This window comes from Homo sapiens, chromosome 3 (genome assembly GCF_000001405.40).
Source record: "Homo sapiens chromosome 3, GRCh38.p14 Primary Assembly".
Lineage (NCBI taxonomy): Eukaryota > Metazoa > Chordata > Mammalia > Primates > Hominidae > Homo > Homo sapiens.
Window position 1 is genome coordinate 178,966,750 of NC_000003.12, and position 24,943 is coordinate 178,991,692.

Genomic DNA, 24,943 nt, shown 5'->3' on the forward strand with positions numbered 1-24,943 from the left:
TTCTGTTTCTAAACAGTTAATGCAGGGTTTTTGAATACTAGCAATTTGAAGGATTTTGCATTAAACTTTGAACACAGCAAGATTTTAAAATCTGAAAGAATTTCTGTTGACCTCCAGTGATTGGAATACCTCTTTATGCAGCAGAAGTTCCTCTTTGCCAATTAAAAAGTCCTCATTTCTCTCTGTGTAATAGCACACCCTGTTCCTGGCTGAGAAGAAAACAAAATTAACCTTGGGCTGGCGGCTGTGCTGCCTGATTTCCCTGGGCGAGTGAATGAGCTCACCAAATGTATAAATAATGTGCCCAAGTCTCCTTGTTGCTCAGTTTTTTCATATTCATTGAACAGAAGCCTTGAGCGCAATTCCAAACTGCTAATGTGTTAATACTTTCACCAGAGCTTGACTCCAGTTGCTGAAAAAACAAATATAAAACAGTAAACCCAGAAGGATGACCCAAACTTCCTGTTCTTTATTGGCAGAATTTTGCTGTGCAACTTACAAAGTTTGACAAATTATGCAAAGAAGCAAATGTAAAAGGACAGCTCTGAGATCCAAATTGAGGTGCTGTAGCACAGTTGCTTTAGTGGAACTACCACTGGGCTGCTGCCAGTCGCATCTGGGCAGGAAGGAAATGCAAATTAAAAGGAAAAATTAGGCCATTTTAGAGCAAAGTGAATTTTCAGCAAAAGCTCAGTGCTAACACTGAAAAATAAAGAAGGTATTATTCAGTTTTAAATCAGATTGATTAATTCTTTCTCTTGGTTATTCCAAAGTGCTTCTTTCGCTCTTCCCCGAGACACTGAGGTGTTTTGATAACGACTCATTATTTCTGTAGCACCAGTTCTTATCTTTGTTACTTCATTCAACCTCTTTTCATCTCATTCAACCACAGAAAGTGATTTTGACCTTTTACAAGACCCATAACCTTTACTGAAATCAAAGCTAATTGCTTTTCTTTTTAAATGTCTTTTAATCACCTTCAAAACTAAACAAATAACTTCAATCTAGAAAAATCAGACCTTGGAATCAGAATGAATGTTAGACATCCCTCTACTGCTTAGCAGTCCTGTGAACCTGAGATTCCTCAGCTATTAGGTCCAGAAATACCTGTCTCATTTATGTCACCAAATAGTTGTTAGGATAAAATGAGATTACATATGGAAATATACTTTAATAGCATTTATTGAGTACTTAATATGTATTAGGCACTATTCTTAGCCCTTATTACTTACTAACTCATTTACTCTTCACAAGAAATTCAAGAGAGAGAATTTTATCCCTACTTTACAGATAAGAAAACTGAGGCAGAGAAACTAAGTAACCTGCCTAAAGTCTCCTAGCTACTAAATCTGAAATTCAAACCCAGGTAGTCTGACTCCAGAGCTCACACTCTACAACCATATACACCACCTTCCAGTGTGGATATGAGTGTGGTTATTCATTCATTAATTTATCAGCTGTCTATTGAACATCTACCATGTGCCACACACTCTGTTGGATTATTAATGGAAAATAATCAAATCTATAGGATTCACTCTTTACTATCTTCACTCTTTTTGCCCTATAGGAAATGAAGAGGAAAGGGTATAGGAAGAGAAAAGAAAGAAAACTCTAAACCTATCATTAAGAACATTTGCAAAATAGTCACATAGAGCCTTAAGATGCCACAGTTCAAATGAGAGGACTCCTCCTCTCCGGCATAGACCCAGTCACCACGGATAAGACTTGGGAGTGAGGAGACAATGGCGCAAAGCAGACCCCAACCTCTCCACAGGCAGGGGCAGAGGGATGATGGGAGAAGCACAGACAAGATGAGTCAGGACCAGAGGCTTGAGCTCATTGAATGGCAGAGTCACGGAGTGGCAAACTCCAAACCCCCATGGCTAATCCTCACCGTTCTTCACTAGGTTTCTGCAAGACCTAAGAAAACTTCTGCAAAAGCACTTCCTTGACTGTGAATTTATCTGCAATGTCAGAGGTAATGTAAAACCATAAGAAGGTGACTCCTATTGACCTCCAGTCCCAACAAGGACTCCAAAATTGATAGCTGCGTATGAAAGACATAGATATTTAATCTGCACATATGTATTTAATTTTTTAAATGGGGGAAGAGAGGCTCAAGTCCTAGAATTCACTGATAATCATCTATAAACAATTATTATTTAGAAGATAATTAATAGTTTTAACACTAATAGGCCTTTTTCTTCCAAAGCAGTCTTCTCCAGAAACTTCAAGTAAGTTTAAATTCATTAGTTAATCACCTTCTTCTGTAATAAGCAGTCACTGTTATTATTTATCCTATTTTTAAGAAAGAAAAAATTTAAATAAAGCAAGAATAATTGAGACATTTAGGCATTTCTATAAAAAGCCACAGCATGTCACCTGCCAGGAAGAACGCCTCTATAAGGCAACATGCACATTTTCTTTCACTTGAAGGTATCAGTTCCTCTTTGAAGACGCTAGCTAAATATGGACTCTATCCTCTTCCATAATCTACCCCTCTAATAAATACTTACAGCATTAACTTGGAAAGCTCAACACCCCTCTCTCATCATACCCTTAGCCCATCTTCTAGGACACCCAGAAAGGGGAGGATCATAGGGCCGATTGTTATCAATCAGTTCTCTATCACACACCAAACACAACACAGACACACATACACACTGTGTATGAATGCTTACACACCCTCCTGACCCTGAACTTGCTGGTAATTTTCATGGACATAGATGAAATGAATAAGAGGTTCACTAAATTAATGGCTGTCAATTGGGCCAACCAACAGTAGTCCCGGGCCCCTGAGTTCAGATGTTTACTCAAAAAAAACAATTTCAAAATCATTTCAGAAGTGAAAGAGTAGACAGAAGTGACTACAGACATTTTTCAAAAGTAAAGTAGAAGACTGAAGAGTGTGTACGATTGCAAAATGGAGAAGAAAGAGAAGCTCCATTGTGTTTGTTTTTCTCCCCAGCAGGGCTGTCATTTAAGTCGTCAAAGGGTAATGGAAGTCATCAATAACGTGGCAGTGCCTGGAAACTTTTCATATTCAGCTTTGGAAAGACAGATTGGCTCTAGGAGGCTCCATATATCAAGGGAGATTTAGGTCTTATCTGAAAAGGCACTTCCAAACAGAAAGTCTGGCTACCAAGGCTTAACAAGAGAAAGGTGTAAATTCTGTAAATTCGTGAGACATATTCTTCCAAAGGCTGAACTAAGTGACATAGGATCACAGATTCCCAGAAAATATTTTAAGGATGTAGATTCTTATTCCAGGTGGATTCCAGTAATAATCCCTATAATCTTTCATTGAAAGTTCCCAGTGTCCAGAAGGTCACTACCAAGGCAGTCTTACATTTTTTGAATACTAAGTGCTGGGGCTCAGAAAATGATATCCCAAAATAAAGGCCTCAGAACCCAAAGTTTTTCCTCTAACTTCCTACCCTCCTGTCTTTGCCTTTTTATTCTCCCCTAAGGCTAGTCATAGAAACTGGAATCTTCTTCTCCAAAGTGGGCTATAGAAACCAGAACCCTTTTTCCCCATAGCCAGCCATAAAACCTGAACATGTTGCTCTAACTTTCCTCCCACCTTTCTATGTAAAAATCTGCCATAAAGAAACTATCTAGCCTAGTTGTTCAATCATAGGTTATAAGACCCCACCCCCAATTCCAGAGAGTGTCTTGCCCCACACCCAGAAGGAAGGAATGCATGCACAGAGAGGCCAAGAAGAATCTAGACAGGCCGGGCACAGTAGCTCACGCCTGTAATCCCAACACTTTGGAAGGCCAAGGCAGGCAGATCACCTGAGGTCAGGAGTTCGAGGCCAGCCTAGCCAACATGGTGAAACCCTGTCTCTACTAAAAATACAAAAATTATCCGGGCGTGGTGGCCGGCACCTGTAATCCCAGCTACTCGGGAGGCTGAGGCAGAAGAATCGCTTGAACCCGGGAGGTGGAGGTTGCAGTGAGCTGAGGTCGCGCCATTGCACTCCGGCCTGGGTGACAAGAGCAAAACTCCGTCTCATTAAGAAAAAAAAAAAAAAAAAGAAGAAAAATAATCTAGACAGATAGGCTTTATTGGGTTTCCCTACTCACTCTATTAGCATTAAATGATACCCTTTTTGTCCAATCATATTTGCACATGGTTGTCCATACTTTGTTAAACCTAAGCATAAAACTGGACAGTTTTCCCTGCTTTGGGTCTTTATTCTAAAGGTTCCTGTGTCACATAAAACTGTGATCAAATAAATTTGTATGTCTTTTCTTTGATTAATATGCCTTTGTCAGTGATATTCAGTGAACCTGCAGAACACAAAAGGGAAGCCTTCCCTTGGTCCCTACATGAGCTTAAACCCAATATTTTTCATTTGTTTCACAGGACTACACTTTCTTATGTAATCTCAATACTGAAATCCTGCACATATTCCTGATATTTTTCCAAGTAAAATGTACCTGGGAAGATAGTTAATATGCTGAATCTAAATTTTAATGCTATTTGAAATAATCAATTAGATAAAATATTTTGTCAATTTTGTCCTTTGGGAACATAACTAAAAGGTACATAAACTTTGATGTCTAAGTGAGCATGTTTTATATATTACACAAATCAGCATTGTCAAAGTTATATTTGGATTTTTATTAGGATAGGAGCAAATATAATTCAAAGGCAACCTTTCAGGTCCTGACCCTGGTTCTGCCTGACAGGCAAAATCCTAACAGCCTAAGAATATTCTTAGGCATTATTTTATTTTTAGGTGAAACTTTTCCTTGCTATTATTATAGTCTTTTAAAAATGATTTACTCTTTTAAAATTTAATTATTTTATATACATTTTCTCATTTTTGATCAGAGACCATCCTATCAATATTATTTATAAACCCCAATGTCACAGGTTATATAGACAATTACAAGATCCTCTTCTGAAAAAAGTAAGAGACAAAACAGATTCAGTTTTCAAGCAGGATCAAATGACAGGAGAAACAGTGTCCACCTAGCAGAATAGTGAAGTGGGAAGTAGAAACTCCAAGTGCAGGTATGAGTCAGGAACAAGACATGAAGCAAGATCAAATTGCCTGAGGTGAAACTACTGCTCAGCTCTGCTTATCAGCAATGTCGTGGCCAGTGATATGATATGCCCAACAGGAGTGAGGCCTCCCCATGGGCAAGGACAAGTGTCCATATCAGATTCAGCTGTGACAACTAGAATAGAGTCTTCACTTGTCCCTGATCCAAGCAGAGAAACTTAGAAGGAAACTAGTTCAAGAGCCAGATGTTCAGACACTCCAAAAAAAGGTTTATTAAAATAAAATAGAAGATAATATTATCAACATTTGTTTAACTTTAGTTTTTAAATAATTACAGGTTCACATGAAGTCACAAAAATAGTTTAAAGAGGTCCCATATACCCATCAGTCAGTTTTCTCCAAAGGTAACAATTTATAAAACAATAGTATAATTTCAAAATCGAGAAATTGACATTGGTACAACCTACAGACCTTATTCAGATTTCACCTGTTTTATTTTCATTCACTCATTTGTATGTGTTTCTGTGTATGTGTATAGTTCTGTGTAATTTTACCACATAGGTAGATTTTTATATATTATCAAGCTTTAAATTTCATGAATATGGTAAACTACTTTTTAAACTCCCATGTTGTTGGTGAGTTTATTAAAATAGCATTGTAGTGAAATTCAGCCTCACTACTAAAGACACCCTATTTAACATTTAAAAACATTCTTTCTGCCTTTTAAATCAGCAATAGTTTTTAAGTGATAGTATTCAACTTTAGAGTATGGTAAGCCTGGCATTCTCATACACTACTTTTAGGCATGAAAATTAGTACCATCTTTCTGGAAACAAATATTTATCAAGGGGCTTTAAATGTTTGTATACTCTCTAATCTAGCAACTCCCCTTCTAGAAACATATCCTAAGAAAACAATTAGAGAATTGGATGAATATTATGAGTTAATGTTCACTTAGTGTTACCTATACTAGCGAGGAATTAAAAATGGTCTAAATGTCAAAAAAAAAGGGATCAGTTGAATAAGTTAGAGCCCACTGAACCAATGTTATATTGTACAATAATTTAAAGGAGCATTTTTTCAGGAACATATAGCCTAAAGAAAATCCCCATAATAAAATTTTAAGTAAAAACAGCCACTATAGCTCATAGTTTACATTAGTTTTGTGGACATATGTGTTTTAAAAGCTCTGGACCTCTGTTTCTGGGAGGAAGGCAATGTGCTTTTTCCTATTCCTACTGCTAATATAACTAAAAGCCCTGGATATTATATGTAAAACAAACGTAAGAATACTCAAAAAGGAGGAGAAAAGAAGGCAGACCCTGAGGTCTGGCTAGGAAACTCAAGACTTGAGGAATGACATGTTGAGTACCTTGGTCTTTCTGTTTTTATATATCCCAGACTCAGAGCTAAAGAAGACAGCCATACAGTAAACACCAAGTGTAGATTTTTTTTCTTAAAGCCCCAAAATGCATGCTGTCTAGCCAAAGGACCAGGAAAGGAGCAGGCAAGCAAGACAGAAAGTGTTTAGATAAAAATTGTTTTACTGCAGCCAAACACAACAGAAAAAAACTGTACCCCAATCCTGTCCGTGCCAACAAAGGCTGAATGGGGAACCTAGATTTCCACCATCACCAGGCTATAATAATGTATCCCAACACCCCTACCAGTGTTGCATCAGAGAAGGCCAAGTGGGGAGCCTGAACTCTTATCCCCACTGGCCAGTAATGAGCTCCCTACCATCCCCACTGGTGAATGTGAGAGGAGGCAAACCACTGAATCAGAATTTTCACCAATGTCCAGAGGTAATGAGGCCACCTTCCTCCCATAGTGTCAGTGAAGACTATGTGAGGAGTAACAAGGCACTCCTACACCTTCCAGATAGGCAGGTATCAGAAGAGATCTAATGGGAGCCAGAATTTTCACCCTGACCAGCAGTAATAAGGAGCCCTCTCCTTAAGTGTCAACAGGTGTCAAGTGGGAAACCTGGACTTCCACCCCCACCTGGCAGTAACAAGGCTCAGCTGCCCTTTCTCTGCTAAAGCAGTGTTTCAGAAAGCCAGCAAATACAGAAGGTTTAAATAAGATCCACACATTCTTACAATACCATGAATATCCAGATTTTTATCAAAAGTCACCTGTCATATCAAGAAACAGGAAGATATCAAACTGAATGAAAAACATAATCAAGAGATGCCAACTGTGAGATGACAGAGATGGCAGAATTATCTGACAAATGTTTTAAAGCATCAGTCATAAAAATGTTTCAATGAGTAATAACAAACACACTTGAAACAAATGAAAATATTGAGGAAGGAGTCTTAGTGAAGAAACAGAATACATAAAGAAGTAAAATGAAAATTTTAGAACTTAAAAATGCAATAGCTAAAATGAAAAGACTCAGTGGATGAAGTCAGCAGCTGATATGGTTTGGCTGTGTCCCCACCCAAATCTCCTCTTGAATTCCCACATGTTGTGGGAAGGACCTGGTAGGAGGTAATTGAATCATGGGGGCAGGTCTTTCCCGTGCTGTTCTGGTGAAAGTGAATAAGTCTCATGAGATCTGACAGTTTTATAAGAGGGAGTTTCCCCTGCACAAACCCCCTCTTTGCCTGCTGCCATCCACGTAAGATGTGACTTGCTCCTCCTTGCCTTCCACCATGATTGTGAGGCTTCCCCAGCCACGTGGAACTGTAAGTCCATTAAACCTTTCTTTTGCAAATTGCCCAGTCTTGGGTATGTCTTTATCAGCAGTGTGAAAATGGACCAATACAATAGCATAATGGAAAGGACAGGGGAAAGAATTCATGAAATGGAAGATAGAACAATAGAAATTATCCAGTTTGAACAACCTGAAGGAAATGTAATTTTAAGAAATAAATATGGCCAGGCGTGGTGGTTCATGCCTATAATCCCAGCACTTTAGGAGGCTGAGGCAGATGGATCACGTGAGGTCAGGAGTTTAAGACCAGCCTGGACAACATGGAGAAACCCTGTCTATTAAAAATACAAAAATTAGCCAGGTGTGGTGGTAGGTGCCCATAATACCAGCTACTTAGGAAGCTGAGCAGGAGAATTGCTTCAACCCGGGAGGCAGAGGTTGCAGTGAGCTGAGATCATGCCATTGCACTCCAGCCTGGGCAACAAGAGTGAAACTCTGTTTCAAAATTTAAAAAAAAAGGAAGGAAGGAAGGAGGGAAGGAAGGAAGGAAAGAAAGAAAAAGAAAATAAATACAGCTTCAGAGATATTTGGGAAAAAACAAAAGAGGAAATATTAGTGTCATCAGAGTTTGGAAAAGAGAAGAAAGAAGTTGTGCTGAAAAAGGACTCAAAGAAATAATGACTAAAAACTTCTAAAATTTGGCAAAAGACATAAAGCTACAAATTCAAGAAGCTGATAAAATCCTTAACAGGATAAACCAAAGAAATCTACACCAAGAGACATCATACTCAAACTTCCCAAAACAAAGAAAAATAATTAAAAGCAATGAGAGAAATGCAGTAGATTACATTGATTGACTTTTAGATATTAAACTAACGTTGCAATCATGGAATAACTTATGTCAGTTTATTGGAATTGTCCTTTTACTAGTACAAGTCCTTTTACTAGTGAAACTGTCCTTTTACTAGTACTAGTCCTTTTACTAGTAAAAGTATCTTTTTACTAGTACTACTTTCACTAGTAAAAGTTTGTCATTTGAATGACTGAATGTTGAGTCACTCCTTTCTGACCATGGTTTCTTGTACTAGTGCTAGTAAAAGGACGTGTACTAGTAAAAGGACACTTTTACTAGTGAAAGTAATACTAGTAAAAAGATACTTTTACTAGTAAAAGGACTAGTGCTAGTAAAAGGACACTTTCACTAGTAAAAGGACTTGTACTAGTAAAAGGACAATTCCAGTAAACTGACATAAGTTATTCCATGGTTGCAACGTTAGTTTAATATCTGAAAGTCAATAAATGTACTCTACTGCATTAAGAGACTGAAAAGAAGAAACCATATCAATCAATGCAGAAAAAGCATTTGACAAAAATCAACACTTAGTTATAATAAAAACTCTCAGAAAAAAAACAGGAATAAAGGAATCTTCTTTTACCTTGATTAAAAAAAAATCTATTCAAAAAACTGCAGCTAACATTTTGCCTAACAGTGAAAGACTGAGTGTCTTTCCCTTAAGATTAGAAACAAGGCAACTCCACTACTCTCATTCAACTCAGTGACGGAAGTTCAAACCAATACAACAAGGCAAGAAAAGGAAATACAAAGCATACAGAACTTGTAGGGAGAAATAAAACTGTCCCTATTTGCAGACGATGTGATTATCTACATAGAACATTTCATTGAATCTACTAAAAAATACTCCTAGAACTATTAAATGAGTTCAGCAAGTTTTCAGGATACAAGATATATATATTAAAAATCAACTGTTTTTCTACGTATTAGCAATGAATACATGGACACAAATTAGAAATATAAAGTCATTTACAACAACTCAAAAAATGAAATACAAATACTCCTTGACTTACAATGGGGTTACCTCCTGATAAACCTATGATAAGTCAAAAATATCATAAAGCAAAAATGCATTCATTGCTGGCAACACAGCAGACAGTCTCCTACTTACAATATTTCAACTTATGATTTTTCCACTTTACAATAGTGCAAAAGCAATACATATTCACTAGGAATAGTAACCCCATCATAAGTTGCAAGGAGCTCCTCAATTTATGATGTGGTTAAGTCCTGATAAACCCATCATAAAGTCCAAAAATCATGAGTTGAAGCATCATAAGTCAGGAACCATCTGTACTGATGTTTATGTAGACCTAATAAGTTATGTACAGGACTCGTATGCAACGAACTACAAAATGCCGATAACAGAAACCAAATAATCTAAATAAACAGAAAGACATTTTATATATCTATGTTACCTGCTGACCACTAAAGCCATTTGAGTTTGCCACTCTTGAGATTTATATGTCTGTTAACTTCTGCTGTATAACAAACTGCCTCAAAACCTAATGGTTTAAAATAACAGCTGGGTGCAGTGGCTCATGCCTGTAATCCCAACACTTTAGGAAGCTGAAGCAGGTGGATCACCTGAGGTCGGGAGTTTGAGACCAGCCTGGCCAACATGGCGAAACCATCTCTACTAAAAATACAAAAATTAATTGGGTGTGGTGATGTGCACCTGTAATCTCAGTACTCGGGAGGCTGAGGCAGCAGAATCCCTTGAACCTGGGAGGTGGAAATTGCAGTGAGTCAAGATTGTGCCATTGCACTCCAGCCTGGGTGACAAGAGCAAAACTCCATCTCAAAAAATAGTAATAATAAATAAAATAAAATAATGAAGATTTATTATTGCTCACAGTTATGTGGGTAGCTGGACACCTCTGGTATGGGCCATTCGAGATGGCCCTACTTACATATCTGAGGCGTCAGCTGGGAAGGCGGGGATAGCTAGAACAGTGGGAGCCTCTCTACACCTGGTCTCTCATCTTCCAAGAAGCTAGCCCAGGCATTTTCAGGTGGTAATTAATGAAAGGGTTTCCAGCAGCAAGAGAGGCCAAATCTCAATGCACAGCATATTTTGAGCCTCTGCTTACTTACATCATGTTTGATAAAGTACCATTGTACACTAACATGTCACATGACCATCCCCAGAATCAAAAAGTGAAGACATAGGCTTCATCTCTTTTTGTGAGGAACTGCAAAGTCACATGGCAAATGGCATGCATACAGGAATACAACAAATTTATTTCTTTTTATGCAGGTTTCTGCAATGTATTATGGTTTACTTTACCATTGTCCTGTTGGGTTCTAATGTACATCCTTGTATGTAAATCTTGGAACATCTCTGATTATTTTTCTTTATGAAAAGTTCTTGGTTTCATAAGTGAGGCAAAGGATTAATGTATCTTGATTTAAAATTCCAAATTTTATTCTAGAAACACTGTGCTAATTTACTTAAGATATACAGCAATACACATTTATCTAATATTTTCATCAATATTAGACATCATTAATTTTTATTTGAGACAAGTTCTCGCTCTGTCACCCAGGCTGGAGTATAGTGGTGTGATCACAGCTCACTGCAGCCTCAACCTCCCAGGCTTAGGCAAGCCTCCCATCTCAGCCTCCCTAGTAGCTGAGATCACAGGCACACCCCCGCCCCCCAACTTCTGGCTAATACTTTTTATTATTATTGTAGAGATGTGGTCTTCCTATGTTTCTCAGGCTTTTTTTAAAAAAGTATTGCCAATATGAAAGATTTTTAAATGTTAACTGGTTGTTTTGGTTTATTTTTTCATTTTTTATTACTGTTGAAGGCAAATATTTTCCATAGGATTATTGGTATTTGTATTTCCTTTTTGTGAATTATCTGTTTATATTCTTTGCTCACTTTTCTACTGTAATATTTGTTTTCTAATTTACTTATTAAAACCCTGCATATGTGAAAGAGATTAATTTTGGTTTGTCATGTATTCTATGGCTATTATTATTAATAGTATGTTTTAAAACCTGTTTGAAGCAATCTGGGGAGTGTTTCAAGATGGGCAGGCCTATGCAAACCTACCCCAAAGTCCAAGGAGGCTGAAAGGCCAAAGAAAAGAGACTGATGTATCCAGTTCCTTAGAAAGAAACATTTAATAACAACTTGCTAACAGAAGCTATGTCTGCGTCTCAGGTGGTAGTGAGACAAGATGGAGGATCCCTACACCATTATCCCTCAGACCCAGGGCTTCTATACCATAGAGAAGGGGTGGTTCAGAAGGAATGTGTAGGACAGCTGAAGTACGATAACACCGAGGTTGCTTGACCTAAAGGCAGGATTTACATTAAGTACGTGCTTTTACACAAGGAACAATAGGTAAACTGGAAATCTGAGAGGCCAGAACAGGGGCTAGTCAGAAGCCAACATGGTGGATTTGCTCCCAAGATGGAATTGCTTTGGCCTCTACTGGGAGTACAGAAACTTCATTTTCATGTAGTTCACCCAATTTTTCTTTGTTACCTGAAGTAAGATATTGACCATATTTTATTCAAGTTTTTATTGCTTAATATTTTTACATTTGCTTCTCCAATAAACTAAGAATTTATTTGATTTATAGCAAGAACTAAAATCTAATTTTCCCCCTATTTAACAAGTTGCTCAAGCACTACTTACAAAACAATGCAGCCTTTCTCTAGTGATTTGGATGCTACTTCTATCATATGTGAAATTATTTTACTGTTTTGTCTGCTTCCAGGCTTTCTATTCTATTCTACTGGTCTGACACTTACTAATTATGTTAGTTTTAAAATATATATTAATACATAGCTGTAAGACATCTTTCATCCCCTCCACTCATCATTACTGTTCTTTATCAACATTTTCATGACTATTCTTATTTATTCACTTTTCATGTGAAATTCAGAATAATTTTGTCAAAACTCCCATTAACATTTCCATGAAAACATCATTAAATCTATAAATTAACTTTCCTATCACAAGACATGATATATCTTTTTCATTTATTGGTTTCTTACTATCTCGAAATTTTGCAATTCTCATCAGATCACATTTTTGTTATTTATTTATTTTGGGGGACAGTTTTGTGCTCTGTCACCCAGACTGGAGTACAGTGGTGCAATCAGGGCTTACTGCAGTCTCAACCTCCTGAGCTCAAGTAATCCTTTCACCTCGACCTCCTGAGTAGCTGGGATTAGAGGCTCATGCCTCCACATCCAGCTATTTTTTTTTTTTTTTTTTTTTTGTAGAAATGGCTCTCACTGTGTTGCCTAGGCTGGCCTTGAACTCCTGGGCTCAAGCAATCCTGCTGCCTCGGCCTCCCAAAGTGCTGGCATTACAGGCATGGCCACCATGCCCAGCAATTTTCTTGTTGGTGAGTCTAACACGTGGTTTATTGATTTTGTTTATCTTTTCTAAACACCAATTTTTCATTCTGTTGCTTCCTTTTATTTTTTAGTCTCTATTTCATTTAGTTCTACTCTGATCTTTATTATTTCTTTCCTTCTACTAATTTGAGGTTGGTTTGTTCTTGCTTTTCTAGTTCCTTGAGGTGCATCATTAGATTAAGTATTTGAAATCTTTCTACCTTTTTGATGCAGATTTTTTTTTTTTTTTTTTTTTTTTTTGAGACGGAGTCTTGCTCTGTCACCGAGGCTGGAGTGCAGTGGCATGATCTCTGCTCACTGCAAGCTCTGCCTCCCGGGTTCATGCTATTCTCCTGCCTCAGCCTCCCGAATAGCTGGGACTACAGGTGCCCGCCACCACGCCTGGCTAATTTTTTTTGTATTTTTAGTAGAGACGGGGTTTCACCATGTTAGCCAGGATGGTCTCGATCTCCTGACCTCGTGATCCACCCACCTCGGCCTCCCAAAGTGTTGGGATTACAGACGTGAGCCACCACGCCCAGCCTGATGCAGATGTTTATTGCTATAAAATTCCTTCTTAGCACTGATTTTGCTGTATCCCATAGGTTTTGGTAAGTTGTGATTCAAATTTCATTTAAGATTTTATTAATTTCCTCCTTAATATTTTCCTTGACCCAGTGGTCACTCAGGAATATATTGTTAATTTCCATGTATTTCTATAGTTTCTAACATTCCTCTTGTTGTTGTTTTCTAGTTTTATTCTACTGTGGTCTGAGAAGATATTTGATATGATTTTGATTTTTTTAAATTGTTGAGTTTGCTTTGTGTCCTAACATCTTTCCTATCCTGGAGGATGTTCCGTACGGTGGTGAGGAGAATTCTGCAACTGTTGGATGCAATGTTCTGTAAATGTTTGTTACATCCATTTGGTCTAAAGTGCAATGTAAGTCCAATATTTCTTTGTGAATTTTCTGTCTAGATGATTTGTATAACAATCAGAGTGTGGGGCTGAAGTCCCCAACAATTATTGTATTGAAGTCCATCTCTTCCTTTACATCTAATAATATTTGCTTTATGTATCTGGGTACTCCAGTGTTGAGTGCATATATTTTTTTCATAGCAACCTTTTAAACATGCATGCATGTTTAGAATTTTACTCTCTTGCTGAATTGATTCCTTTGTCATCATGCAATTACCTTCTTTCTCTTTTTTGCTGTCTTTTACACAAAGTCTATTTTTATCTGATATATATATATAGCTACTCCTGCTTGCTTTTGGTTTTTATCTGCATGGAATACTTTTTTCAACCCCTTTATTTTCAGTCTGCATGTGTCTTTACAGGTGAAATGAGTTTCTTATAAGCAGCATATAGTGGGGTCATGTTTTTACATTCATGTATCCAGTCTATATATTTTAAATGCAAAGTTTAATCTGTTTATGTTAAAGGTTATTATGTGAAAGTTTATTTCTATCATTTTACTAAATGACAGATAATACAAAACAATATCTCTGATTGTTTTGCATATCCTCTCTGTTATTGTTTATCATTGTGTTTTGGTGGTTTTCCCATAGTGTTAACATTTGTGTTGTTTCTCCTCCTTGTTTGTGTAGTTTCTCTACCCATGATTTTTACAATGTCAGATGTTTTAATGATGGTAAATAATCTTCCTTTACTTCCAGGTGTCGAACTCTCTTCAGCATTTCTTATAGGACCAGACTAGTGGTGATGAATTCTCTTGGCTTTTGTTTGTCTGGGAAAGACTTTCTTTCTCCTTCATTTATGAAGGATAACTTTGTTGGATATAACATACTTGGCTAGCAGTCTCTTTTCTTTCAGCACTTTGGATATATCAGATGGTGTGTGCATGTTGGTACCAGCTGTCATGGTGGTGGCAAGGTATATAGGCCCAACCTCAGGCCCCTAGGAAGAGAACTCAGGCTCCAACAGTGGTGAAATGAGACAGGCAATCCCCAGGTCCCTAGACTGCATGCTCTGGCATGGGGGGAGGGGCAGGCAAAGCTGGAATGGGTGGGTTTGTCTTCCTTGCTTTCAATATTTCCCATCACTTTTCTGCTGAATTCCAGTGTTCTCTTTGAATTACCTATCTGAAATATAATTATCTACTCATTAGTTTGGTTCTCCTTATTGCTCAATGCCTATGTCTTTCTTTTCTTTTTTTTTTCTCAATGCATATTTCTGAATGAGTTGAAGAATCTGAGTGGTCACCACCAGCCTGAGGACTCTGAGAAATCTAAACTTTATTACTTATAATAATACTTCAGTTGATAAGCATATGAAATGTTTAAAGAATATCACAAACCAATGTATCAGCAAATGAATATGTATGAATTAGATGAAAATGAACAGAAATAAAGAGTGCTAGGGATACAAGTAAAAATATTACAAAAACTTAGCCATCACCACATGCTAAAACTCTCTCAGAGTTGACTAAATTAACATACTGGAAACAAGCAAACTAAGATGCAATAAGGTTTAAATGTACGTCAGCATATAATTGGAAATTAGGGGAGAGAAAAAGCTAGTCTACAATATGTTTGATTGCCACACTCAGGGAAAATGTAGTAAGCACTTATTAAGTATCAGGCAGTATTGGGGAATTTCCTATCAGTTATTGCAGTGGATAGCCACGTAACACTCTGAGGTAGTTATGACACAGGTTTTGCCAATGAGGAACCAAAAGTTCTGAGAGTTTAACTTACTCATGATGACACCGTCTGTAACTGGAAGGTCTGAGGTTTAACTTGGGTCTAATGCCAACATCTACACGCTTTCCACTACACCATTGACCTTTCAGATCTTTAAGGAATAAGAAAAGGTATTTGGAGAAAAATGATAATAATAATAAGTAAAAGTGAAATTCAACTTTCCAAGCATTTAACAGATAAAAATACAGTTTAGCAATTTCCCTTAGAGTTAACATTCTATAAACTTGAAACTCCATCTCTTTAAATGAGTTTATAATCCCTTTCCCTCACAGTGGCTTCTCTTTCAGGTTCAAGACTTACCACCTCAAAAATGAATAAATCTGACTTAAAGTACCAAAACTTTGGAGGTTTCTCATTTTAATAATTCCAGCAATAAGTTAATTTAAGCATTAAAAGAACATGTTATTTTCATTTTCTTTACTTTTAAAACAAAACATTCTCTCTAACGAGTGTGGGTCCCCTGTATCAAGGTTAACTGTTGTTTGTTCAAAATGCAGATCTCTGAACTCCATCCCAGGTTTACTTAAACCAAATCACTTAGGGTGAGGCTAAAAAATTCCTGTTTTGAGCAGGCACCCCAAGGATCTTAATGCACACTGAATTTTGGGAACTACAACCTCAATCTCAAGAGTTCATGAAGCCCAAAGAGCACTCTCAGTGTCTTCAGAACTTATCTTTTATTCTTCATTCTTATTTTATCTTTTGTACCATCGGATGAGTTAAATTAAATGATAAATGCCTAAATACATAGTCCAGTGTCTGGCTCCTAGAAGACATTGAAAGAAAAAAAAAGTAGCCATATCTAAATCTCCTTTCTATTGAAAGGCTTCTAGAGATAATTGTCACAACTGAAGAGCTTTTAGTTTTGTTCCATAAAAAAAGGATGATCTAGTAATACTATGGCAAACAATTTTTTGACAAAACCAAATACAAAAAACAGCCACGACTGGGAAGTAAAAAAATGTAATTTTACTTTCCAACTTTTTTTTTTCAGTTTTACATTTTCTTTTTATTATTATACTTTAACTTCTGGGATACATGTGCAGAATGTGCAGGTTTGTTACATAGGTATACACGTGCCATGGTGGTTTGCTGCACCCATCAACTCATCATCTACATTAGGTATTTCTCCTAATGCTATCTCTCCCTTACCCCCCAACCCCCTGACAGGCCCTGGTGTGTGATGTTGCCCTCCCTGTGTCCATGTGTTCTCATTGTTCAACTCCCACTTATGAGTGAGAACATGCGGTGTTTGGTTTTCTGTTGCTATGTTAGTTTGCTGACAATGATGGTTTCCAGCTTCATCCATGTCCCTGCAAAGGAAATGAACTCATCCTTTTTATGGCTGCATAGTATTCCATGGTGTATGTGTGCCACATTTTCTTTATCCAGTCTATCATTGAGGGCATTTGGGTTGGTTCCAAGTCGTTGCTATTGTGAATAGTGCTGCAATAAACATACGTGTGCATGTGTCCTTATAGTAAAATGATTTATAATCCTTTGGGTATATACCCAGAAATAGGATTGCTGGGTCAAATGGTATTTCTGGTTCTGGATCCTTGAGGAATTGCCCCTCTGTCTTCCACTATGGTTGAACTAATTGACACTCCAACAGTGTAAAAGCATTTCCATTTCTCCACATCCTCTCCAGCATCTGTTGTTTCCTGACTTTTTAATGATCACCATTCTAACTGGCCTGAGATGCTATCTCATTGTGGTTTTGATTTGCATTTCTCTGATTACCAGTGATGATGAGCTTTTTTTCATATGTTTGTTGGCTGCAAAAATGTCTTCTTTTGAGAAGTGTCTGTTCATATCTTTCACCCACTTTTTGATGGGACTGTTTGTTTCTTGTAAATTTGTTTGAGTTCTTTGTAGATTCTGGATATTAGCCCTTTGTCAGATGGATAGATTGCAAAAATTTTCTCCCATTCTGTAGGTTATCTGTTCATGCTGATGATAGTTTCTTTTTCTGTGCAGAAGCTCTTTAGTTTAATCAGATCCCATTTGTCTATTTTGGCTTTTGTTGCCATTGCTTTTGGTGTTTTAGTCATGAAGTCCTTGCCCATGCCTATGTCCTGAATGGTATTGCCTAGGTTTTCTTCTAGGGCTTTAATGGTTTTAGGTCTTATGTTTAAGTCTTTAATCCATCTTGAGTTAATTTTTATATAAGGTGTAAGGAAGGGGTCCAGTTTCAGTTTTCTGCATATGGCTAGCCAGTTTTCCCAACACCACTTATTAAATAGGGAATCCTTTCCCCATTTCTTGTTTTTGTCAGGTTTGTCAAAGATCAGATGGTTGTAGATGTGTGGCGTTATTTCTCAGCCCTCCGTTCTGTTCCATTGGTCTATATATCTGTTTTGGTACCAGTACCATGCTGTTTTTGTTACTGTAGCCTTGTAGTATAGTTTGAAGTCAGGTAGTGTGATGCCTCCAGCTTTGTTCTGTTTGCTTAGGATTGTCTTGGCTATATGGGCTCTTTTTTGGTTCCATATGAAGTTTAAAGTAGTTTTCTCTAATTCTGTGAAGAAAGTCAATGGTAGCTTGATGGGGATAGCATTGAATCTATAAATTACTTTGGGCAGTATGGCCATTTTCATGATATTGATTCTTCATATCCATGAGGATGGAATGTTTTTGCATTTGTTTGTGGCCTCTCTTATTTTCTTGAGCATTGGTTTATAGTTCTCCTTGAAGAGGTCCTTCACATCCCTTGTAAGTTGTGTTCCTAGGTATTTTATTGTCTTTATAGCAATTGTGAATGGGAGTTCACTCATGATTTGGCTCTCTGTTTGTCTGTTATTGGTGTATAGTAATGCTTGTGATTTTTGCACATTGATTTTGTATGCTGAGACTTTGCTGAAGTTGCTTATCAGCTTAAGGAGATGATGGGGTTTTCTAAATATACAATCATGTCATCTGCAAACAGAGATAATTGACTTCCTCTCTTCCTATTTGAATGCACTTTATTTCTTTCTCTTGACTGATTGCCCTGGCCAGAACTTCCAATACTATGTTGAATAGGAGTGGTGAGAGAGGGCATCCTTGTCTTGTGCTGGTTTTCAAAGAGAATGCTTCCAGTTTTTGCCCATTCAGTAGGATATTTGCTATGGGTTTGCCATAAATAGCTCTTATTATTTTGAGATATGTTCCCTCAATACTAGTTTATGGGGAGTTTTTAGCATGAAGGGGTGTTGAATGCATCTACTGAGATAAGCATGTGGTTTTTGTCATTGGTTCTGTTTATGTGATGGATTACGTTTATGGATTTGTGTATGTTGAACCAGCCTTGCATCCCAGGGATGAAGCCGACTTGATCATGGTGGTTAAGCTTTTTGATGTGCTGCTGGATTCAGTTTGCCAGTATTTTATTGAGGATTTTTGCATCAACGTTCATCAGGAATATTGGCCTGAAATTTTCTTTTTTTGTTGTTGATGTGTTTCTGCCAGGTTTTGGGTTCAGGATGATCCTGGCCTCATAAAACGAGTTAGGGAGGAGTCCCTCTTTTTCTATTGTTTAGAATAGTTTCAGAAGGAATGATATCAGCTCCTCTTTGTACCTCTGGTAGAATTCGGCTGTGAATCCAAAAATCTAGAAGAAATGGATAAATTCCTGGACACATACACCCTCCAAAGACTAAACCAGGATGAAGTCAAATCTCTGAATAGACCAATAACAGGTTCTGAAATTGAGTTAGTAATTAATAGCCTACCAAACAAAAAAGCCCAGGACCAGACAGAATCCAACATTTTCTTTTCCATTACTCACACACAGATGCATACACACTTTTAGCTTGTTTGTCTGTTTGTTTACTTCAATTTTGTTTCCTGATTAAAGTTTTTAAATATAATAAGTTTGCATATTACATCCTTGAATTAGACACACCATACTTCCATCCCTCCACAGATCTGGATTCTTGCCTCTGTTGAGGTAAGTCTGTTGTGAGTCTGCCATGGTGGGATGGTTATGAGATTATAAAAGCTGAAGATATCAGGATTAAATTACTTTTGTCAGATCCAGACAAAACAGGACCAGGAAGGCCAAGAAGGGAGGCTCATGCTTACATGTCTAAGATAAGAACTGTTCCCAAAGACTTTCTAAAAACGTTTCATGTCATTCATGCCTCTTTTCTTTTGGTACAGTTTATCACTAGATATTCTTTAGAACTTCAATAATTCATAAAAGACGTTCTTGGAAGAGCATTTGCCTAGTAATGGCATCTCCATAAATGAACTGACAGCAGCTCTAACTTTGAACCTCTAGATCAAATGAACTCAGTTTCTAAGCAGCTTATGTAAATCTACTTTTCTGCAAATAAAAGCTCCCTTTATCCTTCCCTCACTGAATGCACTAGTGACTTGCCATTTCACACATTCCAAAGTATAATCCTCATTTCTATGCCAGAGTAAAGCCAACATATTTAGAGATAATTTTCTCTAGTGTCTTTTTTTAGGTTGACAAGATGATAAAAAGATTTCCACAGACATCAATGATATAAAGTTTCTTCAACGGTAGAGAATATAAAAATTTCAAAGATGGTTACACAAAGCAGGTGTAGGGGAGACAAAAATGACTTCTGTCTACCCTTCTAGGTTCTTTGGCTGGGTTACAAATTAAATTAATGTGAGGCAGATTAATATGAGAAAAAATGTATTACATACACATGCATGGGAATTCCACAAAATATGAGACTCCAAGAAAGCTTACATGGTGCCTGAAATAAAGAAAAGAATAGGCACTTGGGGCTTCTGAGGTGGTGGTGACACAAATTATGTGATGACGATGAGAGGAATTGTATGGTGAATAAAGGTTGTCTTGTTATGCAGACAAAAAGTCTCTCAGGTAATAAAAGGTGTCTCTGAGTAAAACCGCCCTTGCAAAAGTTATGACAGTGAGAGACATCTGACAAAGCTGACTCCACCTTGCTTCTAACTTCACAAGCTATCTTTGCTTATTCTTGGGCATAGGCCAAGCTAACTACGGTAAGGATTTAGTTTATAGTTTAACTTTAAAACAAAAATAACTGTCCCTTCCTGAAACTACACTCCTCCTGGTTTGGGACTGAAACTGTCTGTGTAAAAGGTTAGAATTATGAAAAAAGCCTGAACTCTGCTAAGACCTACGCATAGTTAAGTGATAACCAGCCACTGCTTCCTAGCTTGCTTACTGCTCACCAGTTATGCAGCCAGGGATCACAAGACTTGTAACTTCCCAAGTCTCTCCTATAGATAACATCACTATTGTAAAACCTAAGATAGGTCTTTGAGATTTTTTTTACAATTTTACATTCTGGCAAACTGATTAATGCCACCTGGACCTGTGACTCAACTGATTCTGTGAACTCCACACAGAAAGCAACTCAGCATGCAAACATAATTCCAACATTTCTATGACTTTACCCACAACCAATCAGGAGCACCCATTCCCTAGTCCCCTGCCCATTAGATTATCCTTAAAAACCCTAGGCTTTGAGCTCTTGGGGAGGAAGATTTGAAAAATATTTTCCATCCTTCTGCTCAACTGCCTTGAGATAATTAAACTCTTTCTCTGTTGCAGCACTGCTGTCTCAGTGCATTGGCTTTATCTGTGCACTGGGCAAAAAGAACCTGTTGGGCTGTAACATGAGTAGCCCTCAGAAGAACAGGTGACACTCTGGCAAAGTCTGTCTGTGCATTGCGTCTCCTTCTGTGATCTGAGTTAATCCTCCCTGGTTGACAAGATTCCCAGAGAAGTAATTCATGACAATTGAGTTGCTCTTTGAGAATTCATCTTTAGACACTTAAGGGAAGTTCAGAGAAAGCTCCCCCCTGCATTTGCTATTCCCCAAGTGCTCTCAGTTTAAAGTAATGAGCACACCAAAGCAGCATATTTTGATGTGGCATTTTTGGAACTCATTCACAGGCAATAACACAAATAGAAACAAAACTTCCTAGATACCCATATATTCCACAGGGAAATGCACTACTGTGAATAAACCACTGTGGGGGTCTGTCCTGCAGACCCTGACCTAACGACAGGTGAATAAAGCACACTGATACACGGATATTCTGCTTTGCCAGTTCAGCTGAGCATCTGGGCCACTTAGTCACAGCCACAGCCTTGATCAGTCAGCAAGACTTGCATTTATTCAGTAGAGATTAATTGACAAAGGTCGTGAGTAAACACCAATAGAGGGTAATTGACACTGTGGACCTCTTGAGTAGAAAGCAATTAAGCACCCACAGTAGATCAAAGGTTAGTCTTAGGACCACATGAATAAACAAGCTATTTAGGTAAACTACTCTACCTTCCTTTGTACCTACTTTAAGCTATTTACTCAAGGTAAGGATTAGGTTGCCTTCAGCCATAACCTTATCCCGAGACTTTTGCAAAAGCCTTCAGGCCTTCCAAGGTTTGTGGCTTATAATTTTCCCTACCATCCTGACTTAACCCCCACAAACCACCTTCCTGGGGATGAGAATTTCCTACATATGAGTCATTTTTTTTCCATTCTCATGAAGATCTAATGCCTATTTGTTCTGGAAACCACTCAGGTTGTGCCTGACTACAAGGCACCCCAAACCCTTCCTAGGGTTTCACAGCAATGCTGGGAGAAGCAAAGGTCCTTTTTCCAGAAGCATGCTTTCCCAGAGTGAGACTTCTGGACAGTTTGAGGTTCATTCCCACACCTGTCATTTCCAAAACATGTAAGATGCTCAGGTACTGTGGTTTCTGGAAGTGCGGTGTGGAGAACCAATAGAGGAGAAATGATGCAATTTGGAAAAAGTAGAAGTTGGATTGCCAAGTACTTGATAAAACATAAAGAGGCAGACATAGCATTACTGATACTGTAGTAGTGTATTAGTCTATTCTCACACTGCTATAAAGAACTGCCTGGAACTGGATAATTTATAAAGAAAGGAGATTTAATTGATTAACAGTTCTACATGGCTGCGGAGACCTCAGGAAACTTACAATCATGGTGGAAGACAAAGGAGAAGCAAGTACCTTCTTCACAAGGCAGCAGGAAAGACAGAGAGAGCAGGGGAAATCACCACTTATAAAACCATCAAACCTCATGAAAACTCACTCACTATCACGAGAACAACATGGGGGAAACCGCCTCCATTATCCAATCACCTCCCACCAGGTCCCTCCCTTGACACATGGGGATTACAGTTTGAGATGAGATTTGGGTGAGAACACAGAGCCAAACCATATAATTCCACCCCTGACCCCTCCCAAACCTCATGTCCTCACATTTTAAAACACAATTATGCCTTTTCAACAGTCCCCCAAAGTCTGAACTCATTCCAGCATTAACCCAAAAGTCCAAGTCCAAAGTCTCATCTGAGACAAGGCAAGTCTCTTTTACCTGGCAGCCTGTAAAATCAAAAGCAAGTTAGTTATTTCCAAGGCAAAATGGGGGTACAGGCATTGGATAAATGTTCCCATTCCAAATGGTAGAAATTGGCCAAAACAAAGAGGCTACAACCCCATGAAAGTCCAAAATCCAGCAGGGCAGTCATTCAGTCTTAAAGCTCCAAAATAATATTATTTGACTCCATGTCTCATATCCATGGCAGGCTGATGCAAAGGGTGGGCTCCCAAGGCCTTGGGAAGCTCCACCCCTGTGGCTTCCCAGGGTTCAGCCCCTGCAGCTGCTCTCATGGACTGGCATTGAATGCCTGTGTCTTTTCTGGGCACATGATGCAAGCTGTCAGTGGATCTATTATTCTGGGGTCTGGAGGATGATGGCTGTCCTCTCATAGCTCCAGTAGGCAATGCCCCAGTGAGGAGTCTGTGTGGGGGCTCCAACCCCACGTTTCCCTTCTGCACTGCCCTAGCAGACATTCTCAATGAGGGCTCTGCTGCAGCAGACTTTTGCCTGGACATCCAGGCATTTCCATGCATCATCTGAAATCTAGGCAGAGGTTTTCAAACCTCCATTTTTGACTTCTGTGCACCCACAGGCCCAATACCATGTGGAAGCCACCAAGGCTTGGGGTTCGCACTCTCTGAACCAATGGCCAGAGCTATACCTTGGTCCTTTTTAGCCACAGCTGGAGCTGGAGCAGCTGGGACACAGGACACTAAGTCCCAAGGCTGCGCAGAGCAGCAAGACCTGGGCCTCGCCTACAAAACCATTTTTCCCTCCTAGGCCTCCAGGCCTGTAGCAGGAGGGGCTGCCACAAAGATCTCTGAAATGCCCTGGAGACATTTCCCCATTGTCTTGGCAATTAACACTTAGTTCCTCATTACTTATGCAAACTTCTGCAGCCAGCTTGAATTCCTCCCCAGAAAATGGTTTTTCTTTTCTACCATGGTCAGGATGCAAATTTTCCAAGCTTTTACACTCTATCATCTCTTGAATGCCTTGCTGCTTAGAAATTTCTTCTGCCAGATACCCTAAATCATCTCTCTCAAGTTCAAAGTTCCACAGATCTCTAGGGCAGGGGCAAAATGACGCCATTCTCTTTGCTAAAGGCTTTTGCTTTAGGAAAGTTCCAAACTTTCCCCACATCTCCCTGTCTTCTTCTGAGTCCTCCAAACCATTCCAACCTCTGTCTGTTACCCAGTTCCAAAGTCACTCCCATATTTTTAAGTATCTTTATAGTAGTGCCCAAACTCCTGGTACCAATGTACAGCATTAGTCTGTTCTCACACTGCTATAAAGAACTGCATGAGATTGAGTAATTTATAAAGAAAAGAGGTTTAATTGACTTACAGTTCTGCATGGCTGGAGAGGCCTCAGAAAACTTACAGTCATGGCAGAAGGTGAAGGAGAAGCAAGTACCTTCTTTACAAGGCAGCAGAAAAGAGAGAGAAAGCAGGGGAAACTTCCACTTATAAAACCATCAGATCTCATGAGAACTCACTTGCTATCACAAGAATAGCATGGGGGAAACCACCCCATGATCCAATCGCCTCCCACCAGGTCCCTCCCTCGACACATGGGTATTGTAGCTCAAGATGAGATTTGGGTAGGGACACAGAGCCAAACCATATCGAAAAGGTTTGGAAAAACAAGACCAAGACCAATTTACCCTTCCTACTTCATATTCTCACTCCCTAGGCAAATTTAATTTGGGTCACTGCTTCCTGTAATCATATTGGCTGGCTTTGTCTCCTGCTTCATTAAGAAAATTTAGACCAACAGACAGAAACCATCTCAGCTTTATTTTCCCTATTTATGTATTTTCTACTTAGCTTCCCTTAACAAACCTGCACATTCTGCACATGTATCCCAGAACTTAAAGTATAATAATAATAATAATAAAGAACTGGCAAGTCATAGTGATAAGAAGCATAGACTCCGAACGAGACCACCCATCTAC

General features: G+C 38.5%; 1 long non-coding RNA gene across 3 annotated transcripts in view, besides 1 other annotated feature; it reads right to left on the reverse strand.

The window, feature by feature from the left end:
* Positions 1–24,943, reverse strand: part of LOC124906307 (uncharacterized) — a 97,668-nt gene that overhangs the window by 58,384 nt on the left and 14,341 nt on the right. The window contains exon 2 of one of the 3 annotated variants that reach the window (XR_007096177.1): positions 130–209. The exons of 1 other annotated variant lie outside the window; for it this stretch is intronic. This is a non-coding gene — a long non-coding RNA (uncharacterized LOC124906307). Of the gene's footprint in view, positions 1–129; positions 210–15,619; positions 15,717–24,943 lie in introns of all 3 variants that reach the window. One more of the 3 variants, XR_007096178.1, reaches the window with a different exon arrangement.
* Positions 4,969–5,169: a silencer, noted in NCBI's record as "peak4949 fragment used in MPRA reporter construct". NCBI's record gives its function as "represses an SCP1 promoter by STARR-seq MPRAs in K562 erythroleukemia cells {active_cell/tissue: K562}" and the evidence as "EXISTENCE:reporter gene assay evidence [ECO:0000049][PMID:32103011]".